Below are 15,679 nucleotides of genomic sequence, written 5' to 3' on the forward strand. Positions count from 1 at the left end.
ATTTTGCATTGTGCTGGTAATGGATTTCCAGCAATGCGATTTTACTGAAGCCTTATGCATCATCCTCCTGTAAAGGTCTACGGTGACCCTTGAACGTCATCCTATGAATTCGCCAAGAAAATTAAGACACTCCAGTAAAAGTACAGCCATGAAAGAAGACAGACTTCTAGATCCATGCCCAACTAGATCTGTTTGATAAATAGAACACAAGCTGGCAGAATTGGCCATCAGCCAACCTAAAAGAAGAAATCAAAAGCAAGGTCTGTTTGTTATTTTGTTACATTTGGGAAAGAATTCTGAAAGATGCAGAGGAATATCTGCTACTATTTGGCCCGGGACTAGCAGTTCAACCACACTCAGACACTCTGTCTCCAGTGCCAAGTGGTTCTGTTTCTCTAGAGAACCCTAACACACCCCCCCATTATTAAACAACCATCCAGTACTGTTTTATTGAGCAGTCAGAAGCAGACCAGCTTTATTCACATTCTGTTAACCCAATTTTTCCTTCCCTCCATAAACTGTTTGCTAGAGGCAGTCTTGCCAGTGCAGCTAAGCTGCCTGTGGCTGGTAAGGTCTCCTGGGCCCTCTACGCCCTTTCTCCTCCGCAGGTCGTGCCTCTATTGGAAGCATGCTTGTAATACCTAACATCCTCCTGGGGCCAGCCTGTGTTCTGCCAAAAGCACATGCAGGAAGCAATACCAGCTCTTAGAGTAATGTGGGCCACAGGGAATGAGCCATGAATGTTAAGATGTGTTTGAAGAAAAGTCAGTGTTCTTAATCTCAGGATGGTAGCCAGATCTAAGTACTGGTATGAGAAGAAAAAGAGAAACAGAGAGAGAGAAAGGGAGGGAGACAGGGAGAGAGGGAAAGAATGAGAGACAGGAAGAGAGAAGAGGAGAGCTAGGAGAAAGGGAGGGGGAGAAAGACTACCTTTACAAAGCAGGAAGGACATTGCAATCTTGGGGTTGCACTTGGCCATGAGTATGTGGAAGGCTGGTGGAAGTGAGATTGGAGGGGGGTCAGCTCCTTTTCACAGCGACTCTGCTGTAAGAATTCTACCTTCCCCTGAGAGGAGGAAGACCAATTTCTAACCATTTTAAACCCAAGCAATAGAAATGTAAAAAACAGGCACATACATGCGCTTGTACACACACACACACGAATGATTGTTAAACTGGTGACATCTGAATAAACTTTGTGGATTGTATCAGTGTCAATGTCCCAGTTTTGGTATTGTCCTCCATGTAAGATCTTACCATGGGGGATGATGGGGAAAGACATATGAGACCTCTCTGTATCTTTTTGCAACTTCCTGTGAAAATATAATTATTTCAAAATATAAAGCTAAAGAAAAACCTCAAGTAGAGCTAGAATATGGAAAATGGGACTAGCTGTGTAAGAGTTGGGCCCTCCTCTATGCCTCAAACTAACCAGCCAGCAACGCAGAGGCCACAGGGGGCGGAGCTACATCCATGGCCTCCAGGACTTAGGGACATACATCCAAGCTTTCCGGCTGCCTGAAGTCAAATCAAGGATTGGTCCAGTGGAGTGTACCCGGGCCCCCACCATCCTCTGCTGAGGAATTTCACTTCCAGAGTCTGTGTCATTGGATTTTGTCTTCTTCCTACTGATTCCAGTTGAAAGCCCACTGCTAGCTGTTAATAGAAGCCATTCTGACAAGGTTGTCCTCCCCTCGACAGCTGCCCAGGTCTAGCCCAGCCTAGGCCACTAATGGAGGGTGGAAGGCACAACAATACCTTTGGAGCTGATATTTGTTCAAACGCTGCTCACTCTAAACCTGGCTTGTTTATCCAACTCTATTTTACTCCATGAATGTCCAAGAAAACTTTTCTAGAAGAGATTTGATTGTTGCTGCCCTTTGTATGCAAAACAGATGCTGCTGGCTGCTCTCCTAGAGCTCTTCCTCACTTCTGGCAGGGTTCACATGCTGCTGGTTTGGAGAAGCCTGCCTTCGAGGGCCCACATGCCCGGGGGAGAGGGGAGCAGGGGCAGTTTGGGGTGTGCTGGATTCACCCACTATAATGCTGTCCTCCCTTGGGTGGAAGCCATAGAAGTCAACAGGACAGACAGCAAGGGAGTGCCACATAGAGGCCAAGGAAGAAATATTGAAAATGAACAGTCTTCTATTTCGTGATGAAGTTTTGACTTCTTTCCTCAGGTCATTTGCTGAAATACAGTGAAGTATCTGGAGGAAACACTTATCTCTGCCCTTGAATTCCCAGAACGCCAACTCTGATTAACTTTCCGATGTTATTGCTTCAGAAAGTCCAAAGTCAGATGATCCGTCTTACATGTATTAAAAGTTACTGAGGCAAGGGTCCAAGGGAAAGTCTCTCCGCTCTCAGCCTGTCCGTCACTGTTCATACTGTAGAAGGAGAACTACTTTAAAATGCAACCTACCATCTTTTATATTGGTAGGTGATTCTGAGGCATTTGCAGGATAGGTAAAGCCTGGAAATTGATACAGTGATTATTTAAAGCAGTGATCGCCACCAGGGGTGAGTTTATCCCTCATGGATACTTTGGTAAGGTCTAGAGATATTTTTGGTTTCACAACTAGAGGGTATGGGGATGCTACTGGCATCTGGTGGGTAGAGACCAGGGATGCTTCTAGACATCCTATGATGTGCAGAACAGCACCCACCACAAAGGATATCCAAAACAAAATGTCAATAGTGATGACATTGAGGAATCCTGCTTTAAGGTTCTCGGCAAATTTACTACAAATAACCACTACTATTCATCCAGCAAACAATCACTGGAGATTTAGTATGATATTAAGACATTATGTATAGCCCTGGCACTGGGGAGTTAGCTTTGCAGTATCTAGTGGAGGAATGACAGAGGTATACAAACAAATATAATGTAATATAAAACATGCAAAGTGCCTGAGTGGAAATGCAAATAAATACAGAGAAGGATATGAGTTTGAGAGGGTGGGGTTGGGGGAGGAGGAAGAACCAATGTCACTTTCCCCAAGAGGACCACAAACTGCATGTTTACACTCAAAGATATCACTCTTGCATATAAATTTGAAATAACTGCTAGGAAAGCTCACCAAACCCTTAAGCGCTTTTTAAGCAATCTGTCTTTCTGCTTTTATATACATATCCTCAGAGAGATGCAGCCTACAGCTTTCTTTGTGACTTTGTTCTTTATTGAGATTATTTTCCTAACAACAATGTGTTTCTAGTACCAAGAAAATGCTTTATTTCCTTCTCCCGCCCTTAGTTGATTCTTTCTATCTATACCTTTAAAATATTGATAAACATACAGTGTAATTCTATAGCTGCTAATCAACAACACAATACGTACTTAGCCTCTTTTATTTTGCCTGGATAGCAACTTAAATTTATCCACAATTTTGAGGATTCACCTTCCTAAGCATCTGTTCATTGGCTTCTGTCTTTTTCAATACTGAGTGCCAAGGATGTAGCAGGAACTATCGTCTCCAACCCCCTGCTCCTATTTTCCAGGCTGAAAGAAACCCTGGGACAGCACAGAGATACTTAGGAAGGAGTCCAATGAGCATAAGACAAAAGGGCTCTTTCCCACCCTTAGGAAAATTAGTGACTGGACCAAAGGGGTTTTGATCAAACAAAAGTGTACTTACGTTAGATTTGCAAGGCTGAAATTGCCTAGTGATCATTTCCATTGCAGATATCATAGACAATGATGCATCTTCCAGGTCAGCAATGTGGATGATAAAACTGTCTGGAACACTACATTGGCAAATGTGAGCTCATAGCTAAGCTGAAATGGAAATCAGTTATGAAACAGAACTACCAGATGCCATATGCCTGCACACAAAATATTCTGGGCAATCTTACAAATCAAATAAGTAACATATGTAGTTGAGGTTCTACTTTGTGAGTTTCACTGCACAATACCCGGGAGCAATTTGTTTGTTTGTTTGGTTTTAACTCTGGCTTTGAATCTTGACTCTGACACTTTCTAGTGTGGGGATCTAGATAAGTTAATACAACATCTCCGAGTCTATATTTTCGTAACAGTAAAATGAGGTAAATCATACCTATCTCTTCAGATTATTGTTTATTCTGCAGGTCTGGGTGCTGTCAGGAAAACGAAGACCATATCAGTTATTTTAACAGAGAGAATTTGATATAGGAAGTTGGTTAGAGAACCAGTTGCTGGAGAACCAAAAGAGCAAAGAAAGGACCCCTGAAGGCTGGGAGAGCAAAAGGCAGAGGTTGTGGGGATTAGAAACTGGATGCTTGACAGAAGGACCCTGTGGAGCTGAGACACAGGCTGCTAAGGAAAGGGTGACAGCTTCTGATGTGCTGTTACTGCAGTAGCTTAGGGCCCCGCAGAGCTGAGTCTCAGCTGAAGCTGGGAAGGTGCAAGAGAGCTGGAAACTGGAACCAACTGCCACTGCCAACATGATGGGCCATCACCAGTGACACTCCCAGCAAGTACTCACGAAGGAGCAAGTCCCTTCTTCGACTCCAGCCTCCATCTCTCTGCTACCTTGACTGGCAGACAGTGAAGGAGAAACATGATTACCGAGAGCCCAGTGAAAAAGCAGAGGAAAGAGGGCTGGATTTGGAGCTGAGAAACAGCCCCAATATATGGCCCATCCATTCACTCAACATGTACATTTATGGAGTGCTTACTGTGGATCAGACTGTGAGGCTGTGAGGCTCTCTGCTAGGTGTTGGGGAACCTAGAGAATTAAATGGAAAACACTCCTAAAGTACAAGGCTCAGCTATTAGTACAAGGTAAACCCTCTGTTAAAAATAGCTCTCCTATCTCCAGTCCAGTGGGAAACATAAAGGAAAAGGAAATGGAAAGCAAAACAAACAAAACAAAACAAGAAACCAGCTCTGGCCTTTAAGAAATCTCATGTTTAGATTCAGTGTTGCAGGATAAGCCACGTAGCAAAGTGCAGAGTGATACATGTTTGTACACTTTACCAAGAATGCCAGACATCGCTGTTTTAAGAGTTCAAGGAAGCAAGAGAATATATGGGGGCAGGGAAGCCTTCACAAAGAAGATGGGAATGAGCAAGACCTGAGGATTTAGATAATGGCCAAAAAGACTAAGACCATTGCAAATGGGAGAAAGCACACAAGCAAATCAAACATGGTGGGAATGTGCTGGTGTGTATGTTGCCACTCTGGCCTCAAGGAATGAAGGATGGATTTGTGATGTGGAGGATGGAAGTTGGAGCCAGTCGCTCATTTCTGGACTGTATTCTGAGGCATAGATAAGCCATTGGAGCTTTGTGAATGAGCAGAAGTTGTATGCAGAAAATATTATCTTTATAGCCCCTATCATATCTAACACAATACCTTGTACATAGTGGAATATTTGGAGGAGGAAGCATTACATTAAATGGGATGGGATGGGATGGGATGGGATGGGATGGGTTGGGATGGGATGGGATAAAATGGAATTAGAAAGGCAGGTCTTAACTTTGAAAATCTTTTTAGAAAATATTTTGAGCCTAAGTATTAATGTCTACTCAAGCTCTCCTAACTTTTGTATCTCCCTCTGTTTTGATAATAATAATAGATACTTTATTAAATCCGCTATGCAATCCATGAGCAATTTTAAGGCCAAACGTTCAGGAACTAAAAAAATTCAGGCAATGATAAACATTTTCTATGATAAAAACATTAACAAGTAAAGATATAACCCAACTAGCAAGACCCTGTTTATTCCATGGATGGAGGCCCCCTGTTGTCAGAGTGAACATGATGTTGGCTTTGAAGACACGGGGGGGAGCTGATGAAAATATCATGGGCTTATTTTAAAAAGTGTTGGGCAATATGCTTTTGAATAAATGTAGCAATTCATGTGAAAACAATATTGTTGCAAATTTTGAATATGTTTGCAAAATATACGATGTACTCGCAACTAATCTATTGTTTTCTTCTTCGTAGATCCATTACAAGATTTTGGCTTTTCTGTTGAAAAGTGTTCCAAGCAATTAAAATCAAATATCAACATTAGATTTGGAATTATTCTGAGTAAGTAAAAAAAATGATTAGCATGAAATAAAACATTGCACAGCCTCTTCCAACTCCACACACCCAATGACTTATGTTAACTGTAATGACTGGCTAAACTACTGTTCCCTCACCACTCTCTGGAATTAACTCTATTTATATCTTCATTTTCAAATCTTTCTCTGGGTTATATTCAGGTAGGGTAGAACTCTCACTTAAAGCTGTACTTTTGTATTAAAAAGACTCTAGGCACTCATTTGGATGATATAAGCACCTGGAATCAGTATACCCAGCAAAAAAAAAGGAAAATATTTTGAGATTAAGTATTAATGTCTACTCAGGATCTCCTAACTTTTTTAGTTATCTCAGCAACAAATAAATCTACTACCAGCGGTACGGTTTGTCATTTGTGTTATTTTGTATCCCAAATAGTTAATACAAATTCTTAAACTTTGACATCGGCAAGGAGGAGATGTAATATTTTCTCTCCTACCCCAATCAGTAAGCTAGAGCACTTTCTGATTGTTTAATTTTCATATGATCATGCAATTATAGTTGGTCAATATATTTTCTATAGCTACTAGACGACCTCCTTTTCCAAAGCAGTTATATCAAAATCAAAGTAGAGAGGTTTAATAAACTTAGCATGTGGAATCATTCCAGAGAAATGGAGGGAACATTCATAGAAATCAAGAACTCTCACGCATCTTTGTATTTCTAGAATCTTACACAGTATCTGGACTCTAGCAGCAGCTGGAGAAATGTTATGGGGAGAGAAAAAGCGAGAAAAGAGAAATAGAAGAGTGGGTGGAACATAAAAGGGAGGAATGGAGAAAAAGAGAGAATTGGAAGCCACCACCATGGAACCCGCTGCAGCTTCCTGTGCACCTGTGCTGCAATACCTCCCTGGCAACAGCAGCAGGTGTATGTAGGCGTGACCACACCCCACCGCCATCATGGGGAACAAATGATACTATGCAACTGAGAAATTCCAGAAGCCAGACCTGCAGACATCACATTAAAAGGCCATAGCATCAGGGTGGGGAGCTCAGCTGATTAACTACCTTGTTCCAAGCAGGTATTTTGAGAAACAGCCACCTTTCATACGCAGGGCCCCATCATAATCCCCTGTAGCATTGCCTAAATGCTGTTTTACCAAGGAAAGAAGAAAACTGTTCCCCACACAGAGAAGATTAATGGAAACAAAAGGTTCTTTAGCTCATGCTGCTGTATACTGTGAATGCCTCTGATACACAGTGAAACACGCAGTAAGAGTAAAGCTGTTCTTCTCTTTCCTCCAGGAGAGGACATCAAAGAGCTTTTTCTTGACCTAGCTCTCATGTCTCAAGGCTCATCTGTTTTGAATTTCTCCTATCCCATCTGTGAGGCGGCTCTGCCCAAGTTTTCTTTCTGTGGAAGAAGGAAAGGAGGTAAGCCATCTGTCTTGCTCACTGCTGGCAGGGGCCTGCAGAGAGATAAACTCGAACTTGCATCTGAGGCCAGGACGCCCAGACCAGAGCTCTGTCTCTGCCCCTCGCCTTTGGACGAGCTTATCCTCACTTATCAGCATGTGTTGCAGAAAAATAACAATAAGGCCCATTCCATAGGCCTACCTTACAGGGCTGTTGTGAATATCAAAATGAAATGACACGTATGAGATGCTTTAAAACAGAACATTGTTACTGTGAGTAGCAGCATCTTATAAAAAAGGGCTGGCAGCAGAAAGAGCCAAGAGGTTCCAAAAATCCATTGAGGTTCAGAGTGCTCCCAGGTTTTCCCTCCACAACTTCCTTAGTGGCAGGATGTCCTTAATATAGTAATGGACTTCAAAAACGAAAAAAAAAAATGAAGCTTATGATATGTCACCACCTTTCCCACGTGGGTCATTGACTAGCAGGGCATCCGGGAGTTACACTCGAAGTAGAGAAACGGAAACCCCATTATATTAGCTACCTTTTCGGCAGTGCACCAACCCTCTACCGCCTGCCATACAGCCTTGAAGAAAGGGCAGGTCACCTTCCCCCACCTGTCCCCACCTCTCCTTTCCTCCTTGTCTTTACCCACAGCTTCACCAAGGCCCTGAGATGCTTCCGCGGTGTGGTTAAAACCTGGCTCTATTCTCTGACTGTCCTTCCCCAGGAGTGGTTCTCTCCCAGCTGCTCTCCCCTCCCAGGGTCTCCTTCCTACTCCCACTGGCCAAGGCAGGGCATACCCCCAATACACCCCTCACCCCACATCTCAGAAATACTCCTTTATCTATTTTCTCATTCAAGAGAGCTAGAATTTTAAACAGTAAATTCCTTGTGAAATGCTGCAATTACTCCTTTTAAATGAAAGATCTAGAAGAAATTGGAATCTCCTTTCTACAGTGAGGGATGCAGACAAAAGAAAACAAGGAACTTAAGGGAGGATTGGCCAGATGGAAGTCGGGGGAACTTTGCTGGGATCTGTAGAGGGCAGAACCAGCCTGGCTGCCTCACCACCCTCGCCATCCCTCCCGAGTGTGTGGCACATCACTGTATCCTAGCGTTTGCCATGTTGGACTGTCCTGGTTTACTGCCGTGTATCTTCCACATTGGACCACGAGCTGCTTGAGGGTAGGGTCATATCACCTTTGTCTTTTTATTCCCAGTATTTCAAATGTGGCTGACACACAGAGAGCTCTGAATACAGACACACGCAGAGCAAAATGCCTAACACGATTGAGCATTCGTACCAGGCCCTGTTCTAAGAGCTTTAGACCCAATAAGTCATTTACTTCCCACACCAACCTTACAAGTTAATACTACATTAATATTCCAACTTCATAAATGTGTAACTGAAGCACAGAGGGGTTTAGGAACTTGCACCAAGTCACAGAGCTTGAAGGATCCATGGCTTGAACCCAGGCAGGCTGACTCCAATCTTAGCTTTAATGAATGAATGAATAAAAGAACAAACAATACAACAAATGAGTGTGTCTTGCTTTTGGCCAAGGGGTTTATTTAAAATTATCATTTCAGAAATCTTTCTGCCCAGTGATCTGACTTTGTTTCAAATTGGGACTTTTTTTTTTTTCTTAGCTAACCCACCTTAAAATCATAAGTCAGTTTTCCTCTCTCAACTTACTGGAGACATTTCTGATTAATCAAGTACGTTCATGCATTTCCTCAGAATGGTGAACTCATCATTAGTCCGTCCCTATTTAACTTTTTCCACCTGCCCTCAGCTGGGCCAACCCCGAGCTCCTCAACCACAGTCAGTCCTTTCTCCTTCCCTCCCTCCCTCCCTCCCCTTCCTCCTTCCCTCCCCTTCCTCCCTCCCTCCCCTTCTTCCTTCTCTCCCTTCTCTCCCCCATCCCTCCCTCCCTTCCTCCCTTCTTCAGCCACATCTTGCTCCACCCCCCTATACATACCTGCGGCATCAGCCTTAAGGGATCCTTTGCCACTTTCTCTTCAGAGCTGCATTTTAACATGTGCAACATTATTTGGATGGTCCCCTTAGCATGTGTGGCCCACTTGCTATTTGCTTTTCATCCAGACCTAGCTCAAGTATCCCTTTCTCTCTCTGTCTCTCTGTCTGTCTCTCTCTCTGTCTCTCTCTGAAGCTTCCTCTAGCCCCAACAGATGAAGTGCTCCCTCTGGGTGCTCTGGGAGCATCGTGTTCCTACTTCTGCTGTAGTGCTTATCTCAGATGGAATTGAATTTTACGGTTAGTGTGTGTCCCTCCCAATTAAACTTTAAACTCCTTGAAGGAAGGCATATTTCTTGCTCCTATCTGTCTCTGCTGACATGGCAAAGAGACCTGGCACAAAGTAAAGACACAATAGATACTTGTTTTATTGCATTTGCCTGTGAACATATGATGGATTGAACACAGTTTTACCAGTTCACCTTAAAAATGACTACTTAAGGCTGCTTATGCATGGCACAAAGACACAACATGCATCAAATCCTAGCAGAGAGTACATTTTCCTGGTCCTTCAAGTATAAGAAAACCTTGCTATTTTTGCCTGCGTATGGTTTTAATAGGATTGATAAAACAGAAGAGAGATGGTTCCCTAAATCAGTTTGAGGTATTCAATTCAGTTTAGCAGCTCAAAAGGCTGACATTTGCCTTATTTGAAGGTTGGACAGCTCTGCAGCTATTTATCTGCTTTATTGCAATGGGAGTGATGACTGCATAGGCAAGCTGAGAAGCTGGCATTGGGGAAATTGCCAGAAAACTTCATATAGTGTAAAATATCATATAGTGTAAAATGATCAGAAAAGTGATATACAAATGCTGCATGAACAAATAATTATGTAAACTATGTAAGTCAGAGAAACTAAAATCTTAAAGTCAGAGGCTTTTTGGATAATTAAATTGTTTTAACCCACCCACAAACCTACTGCAGGAATGATTCTATTCCAAAGAAATGGTTAATAGTAAGACCAGAAGGGGAAAAAAGAACACCAGGGAGAACTAAAGTCAATCCAAATCCAAGCACAAGCTGCTGTTGACATGTTACACATAAAAAGGCTTGCTCTGGGGCTTGCAGGTCCTTCTTAGCAGAGCGGTGAGAAAACTTAATGTCCACTGTGGGTGGCACATTGTGGTGTCACTGGCAGTTGAGCTGTTTGGTATCATTGCCATGGCATTACTATGCATTCCTCTGCAAACTGCATCTCGCTGGCTTTTCTCCAAGCCAAATAAAACACAAAATGGGTCAGGCTTAGTGAGACTGAAATGTTGCCTCCTTTCCCTCTGCCTTGTCCTCAGCTAGCTTTAAGGCAAGCATCACATTGGATTCAAAGACCAGCTGATGCTCTTTCAGTATGATTACTTATGCTGTGATTGACAATGTGGAGGAAATAGCGTATATGGCCAACGATAGGGCATTGACTAAGTAGGTCATTATTCAGCCAAACAAAGGTACAGTATGCTGTGATTTTAAAATGATGCCGTAGATTACTAAATTACATGAAAATATACTTGTAAGAATATTATGTGACAAAGAAGCATGCTATAAAAGTGTAGTCACTGTTGAATCCTATTGTATAAAATGTGTGTAAGTGTATACACAAAAAAACTCTGAAAGAGTACACACTTTAGTGCTAAGAGTACTTATCTCTGCAGATCTTTATTTTTGTCTTTTTTGGAAATCTCGCTTGCTTTTATGATAAATTTGCAAGGTTACTCTTTTAAGTGTTACTTTATCATTACAGGAAAGAATAGAGAGAATAAATTCTCTTCCCCTGGGAATAAATTTAAGAGTTTTCAAAGAGAATTACAGCCTATGTAATATCCAGCGATATTTGGACTCGAATAGAAAGTTCTGAATCAAAGAGTTGCGTAGAATATCAAGGGATGATCTAACAGCCATCCTCTTGCCTGGGATACCCACAGCCCCATTTACTCAGGCTGTGGGCTCACTGAGAAGGAGACAACATTGGCCACTGTTTTACTTTCTTCTCTGTTAAAGCTGCCTTGGTCCTTCTGTCTCCTCTGATAGTATCGAGTCATTCAGATGTATTTGCTTTAGTTGATTGCCATGCTTTCAAACAGGTTCCATAAGCTACACATCCACTTTTAAGACTAAATTGAGCTTCATTGAATGTCCTTAATGACCACAACTAATTCCTAGCCCAAAGGAGGGAAGCTGCAGCCAACTCCCTCAATCCTCAAGAACAACAATGCCGATAGAACCCCTGTGTGATCCGGGAGCTTTGGTCTGGTCTGCAAACACCAAGCGCGCCGTTACCCCAGTGGGTCTCCATCTTGGTCGCACATTAACTGCTCCTGTGCTTTCTGAAGCAATGACCACAAGCCACAGGTCGCGACTGAGCCCTGAAATGTAGCCAGTCTGAATAGAGATGTGCTGTAAGTGTAAAGTACAGACTCAGTTTCAAAGCTTTAGTCTTAGAAAAAGAATGTAAAATATCTCTATCATTGTTCCACTGGTTATGTGTTGAAATGTTAATATTTGGAATATACTGAGTTAAGTAGAATTTATCATTAATATATTATTTTAATCATTTATCAATGATAAGATATTAATATTATATTAAAATTAATTTCAACTTTTAAAATGTGGCTCCTAGAAAACATAAAATTATATGTGTGACTCTCTTTAATGTTTTTACTGGCAGCGCTGCATTATTATCTCCCTTTATAATTTTGAAGCTCCCAACATCCAGGCCATACCCCAGACCAATGATATCAGAATCTCTAGGAGTGAGAGCCAAGCCAGGTGGTGACCAGAAGTGCTCTGTGTTGAGAATATGGGAGGAAAAAACTGTTTTTTCCTACATACACCCTCATCTTATCAGATGAGGAAATTGAGTCTAACTTACCCAAGGTCACAAAGCCAGCGGGGGGTGGAACTGGGTTTCTGTCCAGCTCCAAACCCCTCTGCTGTATATCTTCTGTAAACATAAAGAAAGCTTTGCTAGAGAAGAAGTAAACTCATTTCAGCCCTCCACTAAGACCGGAAAAAGATTTAAAGGGCATAACAAAATTATAGAAATCAAAGGATCATCTTTGGGCATAACCAGCCATTATTATAAGGCAGTGGTTCTCAAAGTGTGGTCCTCAGACCAGCAACATCAGCATCATCTAGGAAATTATTAGAAATGGCAGATTCTTGGTCCCTACCCAGACGTACTGAATCAGAAGCTCTGGGGTTGGGGCTTAGTGATCTGTATTTTAACAAGCCTTTTGGGCCATGTGTTGGCAAACTTTCTTCTGGAAAGGGAAGGATAGTAAACATTTTAGGTTTTGCAGACCATATGGTCTCTGTGGCAATTGCTCAACCCTTCCCTTGCAGAGATAATATGAAAATGAGTGGACATGGCTGTGTGCCCAGATTACATGAAGTGAGGTATGTCTATATCTGCTGCATGTATTTTATAATTGATTTGGCTTTGTTTAATTTATGGACACTGAAATTTAAATTTCATTTAATTCTTACATGTGGTGAAGTATTATTCTTCTTTTGACTGATCAGTCCTGCTCTAAGTGGTTCTGTGGCATGTTAACTTTTGTGAACCACTGCTAGAAGGTAAGTCAGAATCCAGGGCTCTTAGCCAGAGTTACTGAGCACAGGTATGCGGGGGCTGTCACCAGGTGGACACTTGACCTGAGCTGCAGCATAAATTCAGATCCAGGACACCAAGGACAATGCCACACCTGTGCTTTGACTCTGCTTTATAAGACCTGTGCCAAAAAATTAGATTTGGGGCAAAAGGGACTTAACAGATAGGCTGGTCAGAGTGGCAGCTGGCAGGAGGAAGAGCACCTTAGGAAAAAGCCAGAGAGCAGGCCTGGAGGTCTCCTTCCCTCCCCACAGCTGCCATGGACAGTCTGGAGGGCCATTACATTTCTCTATTTCTCAATTACTGCATCTATCAAATGAGAGTGGCCATAATTCATTATTGGGTAAGAGTGGAGACTAAATAAGATATGTGATGTGTCTGACGCGTTAGAAATCACAGCACTGAGTCCCTGGGCTTCCTCCCCTACCCGAGGGACCTTGAGGCAGAGGGTTGGAGCATTTTGTGAAAACTGCAGGGCTGATTGATAAACTCTGGTGGGTCTGTCATAGAAACAGGCCAGAGGACTCAAACTGGTTCACCATAGAGCCAGAGGAGCAGCCAGTCCATAACATCTCACACTGCCAACCTGCTCAGGATCCCAGAATTTCCTGACCAGTAACTGAACAAGTCTTTCATGGCTATGTTGTTCTGTTCTGTTTTGTCTTCTTCCTTTGATCTAAGGTCAGCCTCTAAAATTTTTATTTTCTACCACTGGCTTGACTTCCATCCAGAATGCATAATCTTAGGAATGTCTACTCCCTTCAAGGGAACCTGACATCTATCAAAGTGTGATCTGTCACCCTAGCCCACAATAGTCTGACATAAAGACTTTTCCCAAAGTCTGGGTTTGTCAGCACTCACCAGCACCACACATGAGACACCCACAGCCCTGTCTAGCTTGGAATGGAGTCAAGTTCACTCCAGTCTCTTTCAGTCTCTGATTTATCAAGCGTTCAACACATGTTGATGTCCACTCTCAATGAGGTTCATTTTGTTCAAGCAGTTTCCTAGAATATTCCACGTCAGGAAGATGAAAGTGAAATAAGTTAAATAGAGCCAAAATTTGGTTGTAAGATGTACTGTGGAGCCTGAAACTCAGGTATCACCCTGGGAAGTAGAAGCAACACTTCATTCTTGCTCCACAAGCTCTACCCAATTAAAAAGTGGAGAGAAATGACTTAAAGGTGGCTCATGTTTGGACTGTCAAGAATATATTGTGTAGGGCCGTGGAGACGTGAGGTTCTCAACTGGAAGTGAACCTGGCGATTTGGGTAGAGACTCAGATTAAAGCCATAAAGTAAATAGAATGAACACATGATTTTCTTTCTTTTTAAAAATTGTTTTATATTATTTCCAACTTCTATTTTAAGTTCAGGGGTACATGTGCAGGATGTGCAGGTTTGTTACATAGTTAAACGTGTGCCATGGTGAATAACTGCACAGATCATCCCATGATGATCTGTGATACCATCCCATGATAACACCTAAGTATTAAGCCCAACGTCTATTAGCTATTTTTCCGATGCTCTCCCTCCTCCCATCCCCCACCCTCCAACAGACCCCAGTGTGTGTTGTTTGCCCCAATGTGTCCAAGGAACACATGATTTTCACACTTGATAATAAGAGACATGTCAACTATCAAACCTGGTTCTGGCCAAATTTCTATGAGTTCTGACCAGGGTAGATCAACCCAGGCAAAGTGGCCTTGGTTCCATAACACCAAGTGAGTAATACTCTTTCAAAAATAATTTGTGTATTGATTCACAGACTGACTTGCAGATATCAATTGTACACAACCTACTGCCAAAATCAACTGAAATTAAAGGCTTAAGCGAGTTAAATAAATTGTGTGTGTGTGTGCATGTGTGTATACACTGAGTGTATATGATTATGAATTAGAGTATCTGTAGGTCAAGGAATCTTCTTTGAGACCTTGAAAGCTGCGATTGATGTAATTCAACCAATGAAAACCTGAGAGGACTTAATTATGCCTTATTCATGTCAGGATCCGAGAGAGGTGCAGAAGATAATGGTGCCCACAAGAACTGCTGATTCATGGCGCATCCATGCCTGCACAAGCCACTTCTCAGTATGAGCAAAATCCATTATGAAACACATTCAACAGATACACATACCTCCCTGTGTGCAAATGCAAGCTAGAGAAAATAATTAGGTTTAAACTTGATTTTAAATGCATTAATATTTAAAGCTTGCAATTAAAAGAAATATGATGACACCTTTTGCAATCTGAAGAATCCTCTAGTTGAGAAAATAACTGGTCCCTGGTTTATCTTTTGTGTAAATCTGAACTTTCCTACTGTTTGACCGAAGTGAGAAATACATTATAATGAGATGAATTTCAATATAAAACAGAGTAGATCCCCTGAGAACTGTATTTAAAGTCTGGCATAATATTGCCCATAAGGCAGATATTTTTGTGACAGCATCCAAGAGATTCTGTTGTAATGCTCACTGATTTTATACATACAAATAAGTCAAAGGTGTAACCACGGTGGGTGCTTGTGGTTACCCATCTTCCCTTCCTTTTCATTACGTTTCTTAATTAGATGTTTCTCTTCTGGTCCTGGTTCATGCTGAACACTAGGACCTGTGATCCTCCCAGTATCATT

At 42.1% G+C, this 15,679-nt stretch overlaps 1 protein-coding gene and 1 long non-coding RNA gene across 2 annotated transcripts in view; one reads left to right on the plus strand and one right to left on the minus strand.

Moving 5' to 3' along the window:
• LY86-AS1 (LY86 antisense RNA 1) overlaps window positions 1-3,829 on the minus strand; it is a 276,362-nt gene extending 272,533 nt beyond the window's left edge. Inside the window, exon 1 of the long non-coding RNA NR_026970.1 lies at window positions 3,635-3,829. This is a non-coding gene — a long non-coding RNA (LY86 antisense RNA 1). The remainder of the gene's footprint in view (window positions 1-3,634) is intronic.
• The window catches only part of LY86 (lymphocyte antigen 86), a 66,263-nt gene that overhangs the window by 30,278 nt on the left and 20,306 nt on the right, over window positions 1-15,679 (plus strand). The window contains exons 2-3 of the mRNA NM_004271.4: window positions 5,929-6,015; window positions 7,296-7,424. Of these exons, the coding sequence (NP_004262.1) occupies window positions 5,929-6,015; window positions 7,296-7,424 (216 nt within the window). The remainder of the gene's footprint in view (window positions 1-5,928; window positions 6,016-7,295; window positions 7,425-15,679) is intronic.

Source organism: Homo sapiens, chromosome 6 (genome assembly GCF_000001405.40).
Source record: "Homo sapiens chromosome 6, GRCh38.p14 Primary Assembly".
NCBI lineage: Eukaryota > Metazoa > Chordata > Mammalia > Primates > Hominidae > Homo > Homo sapiens.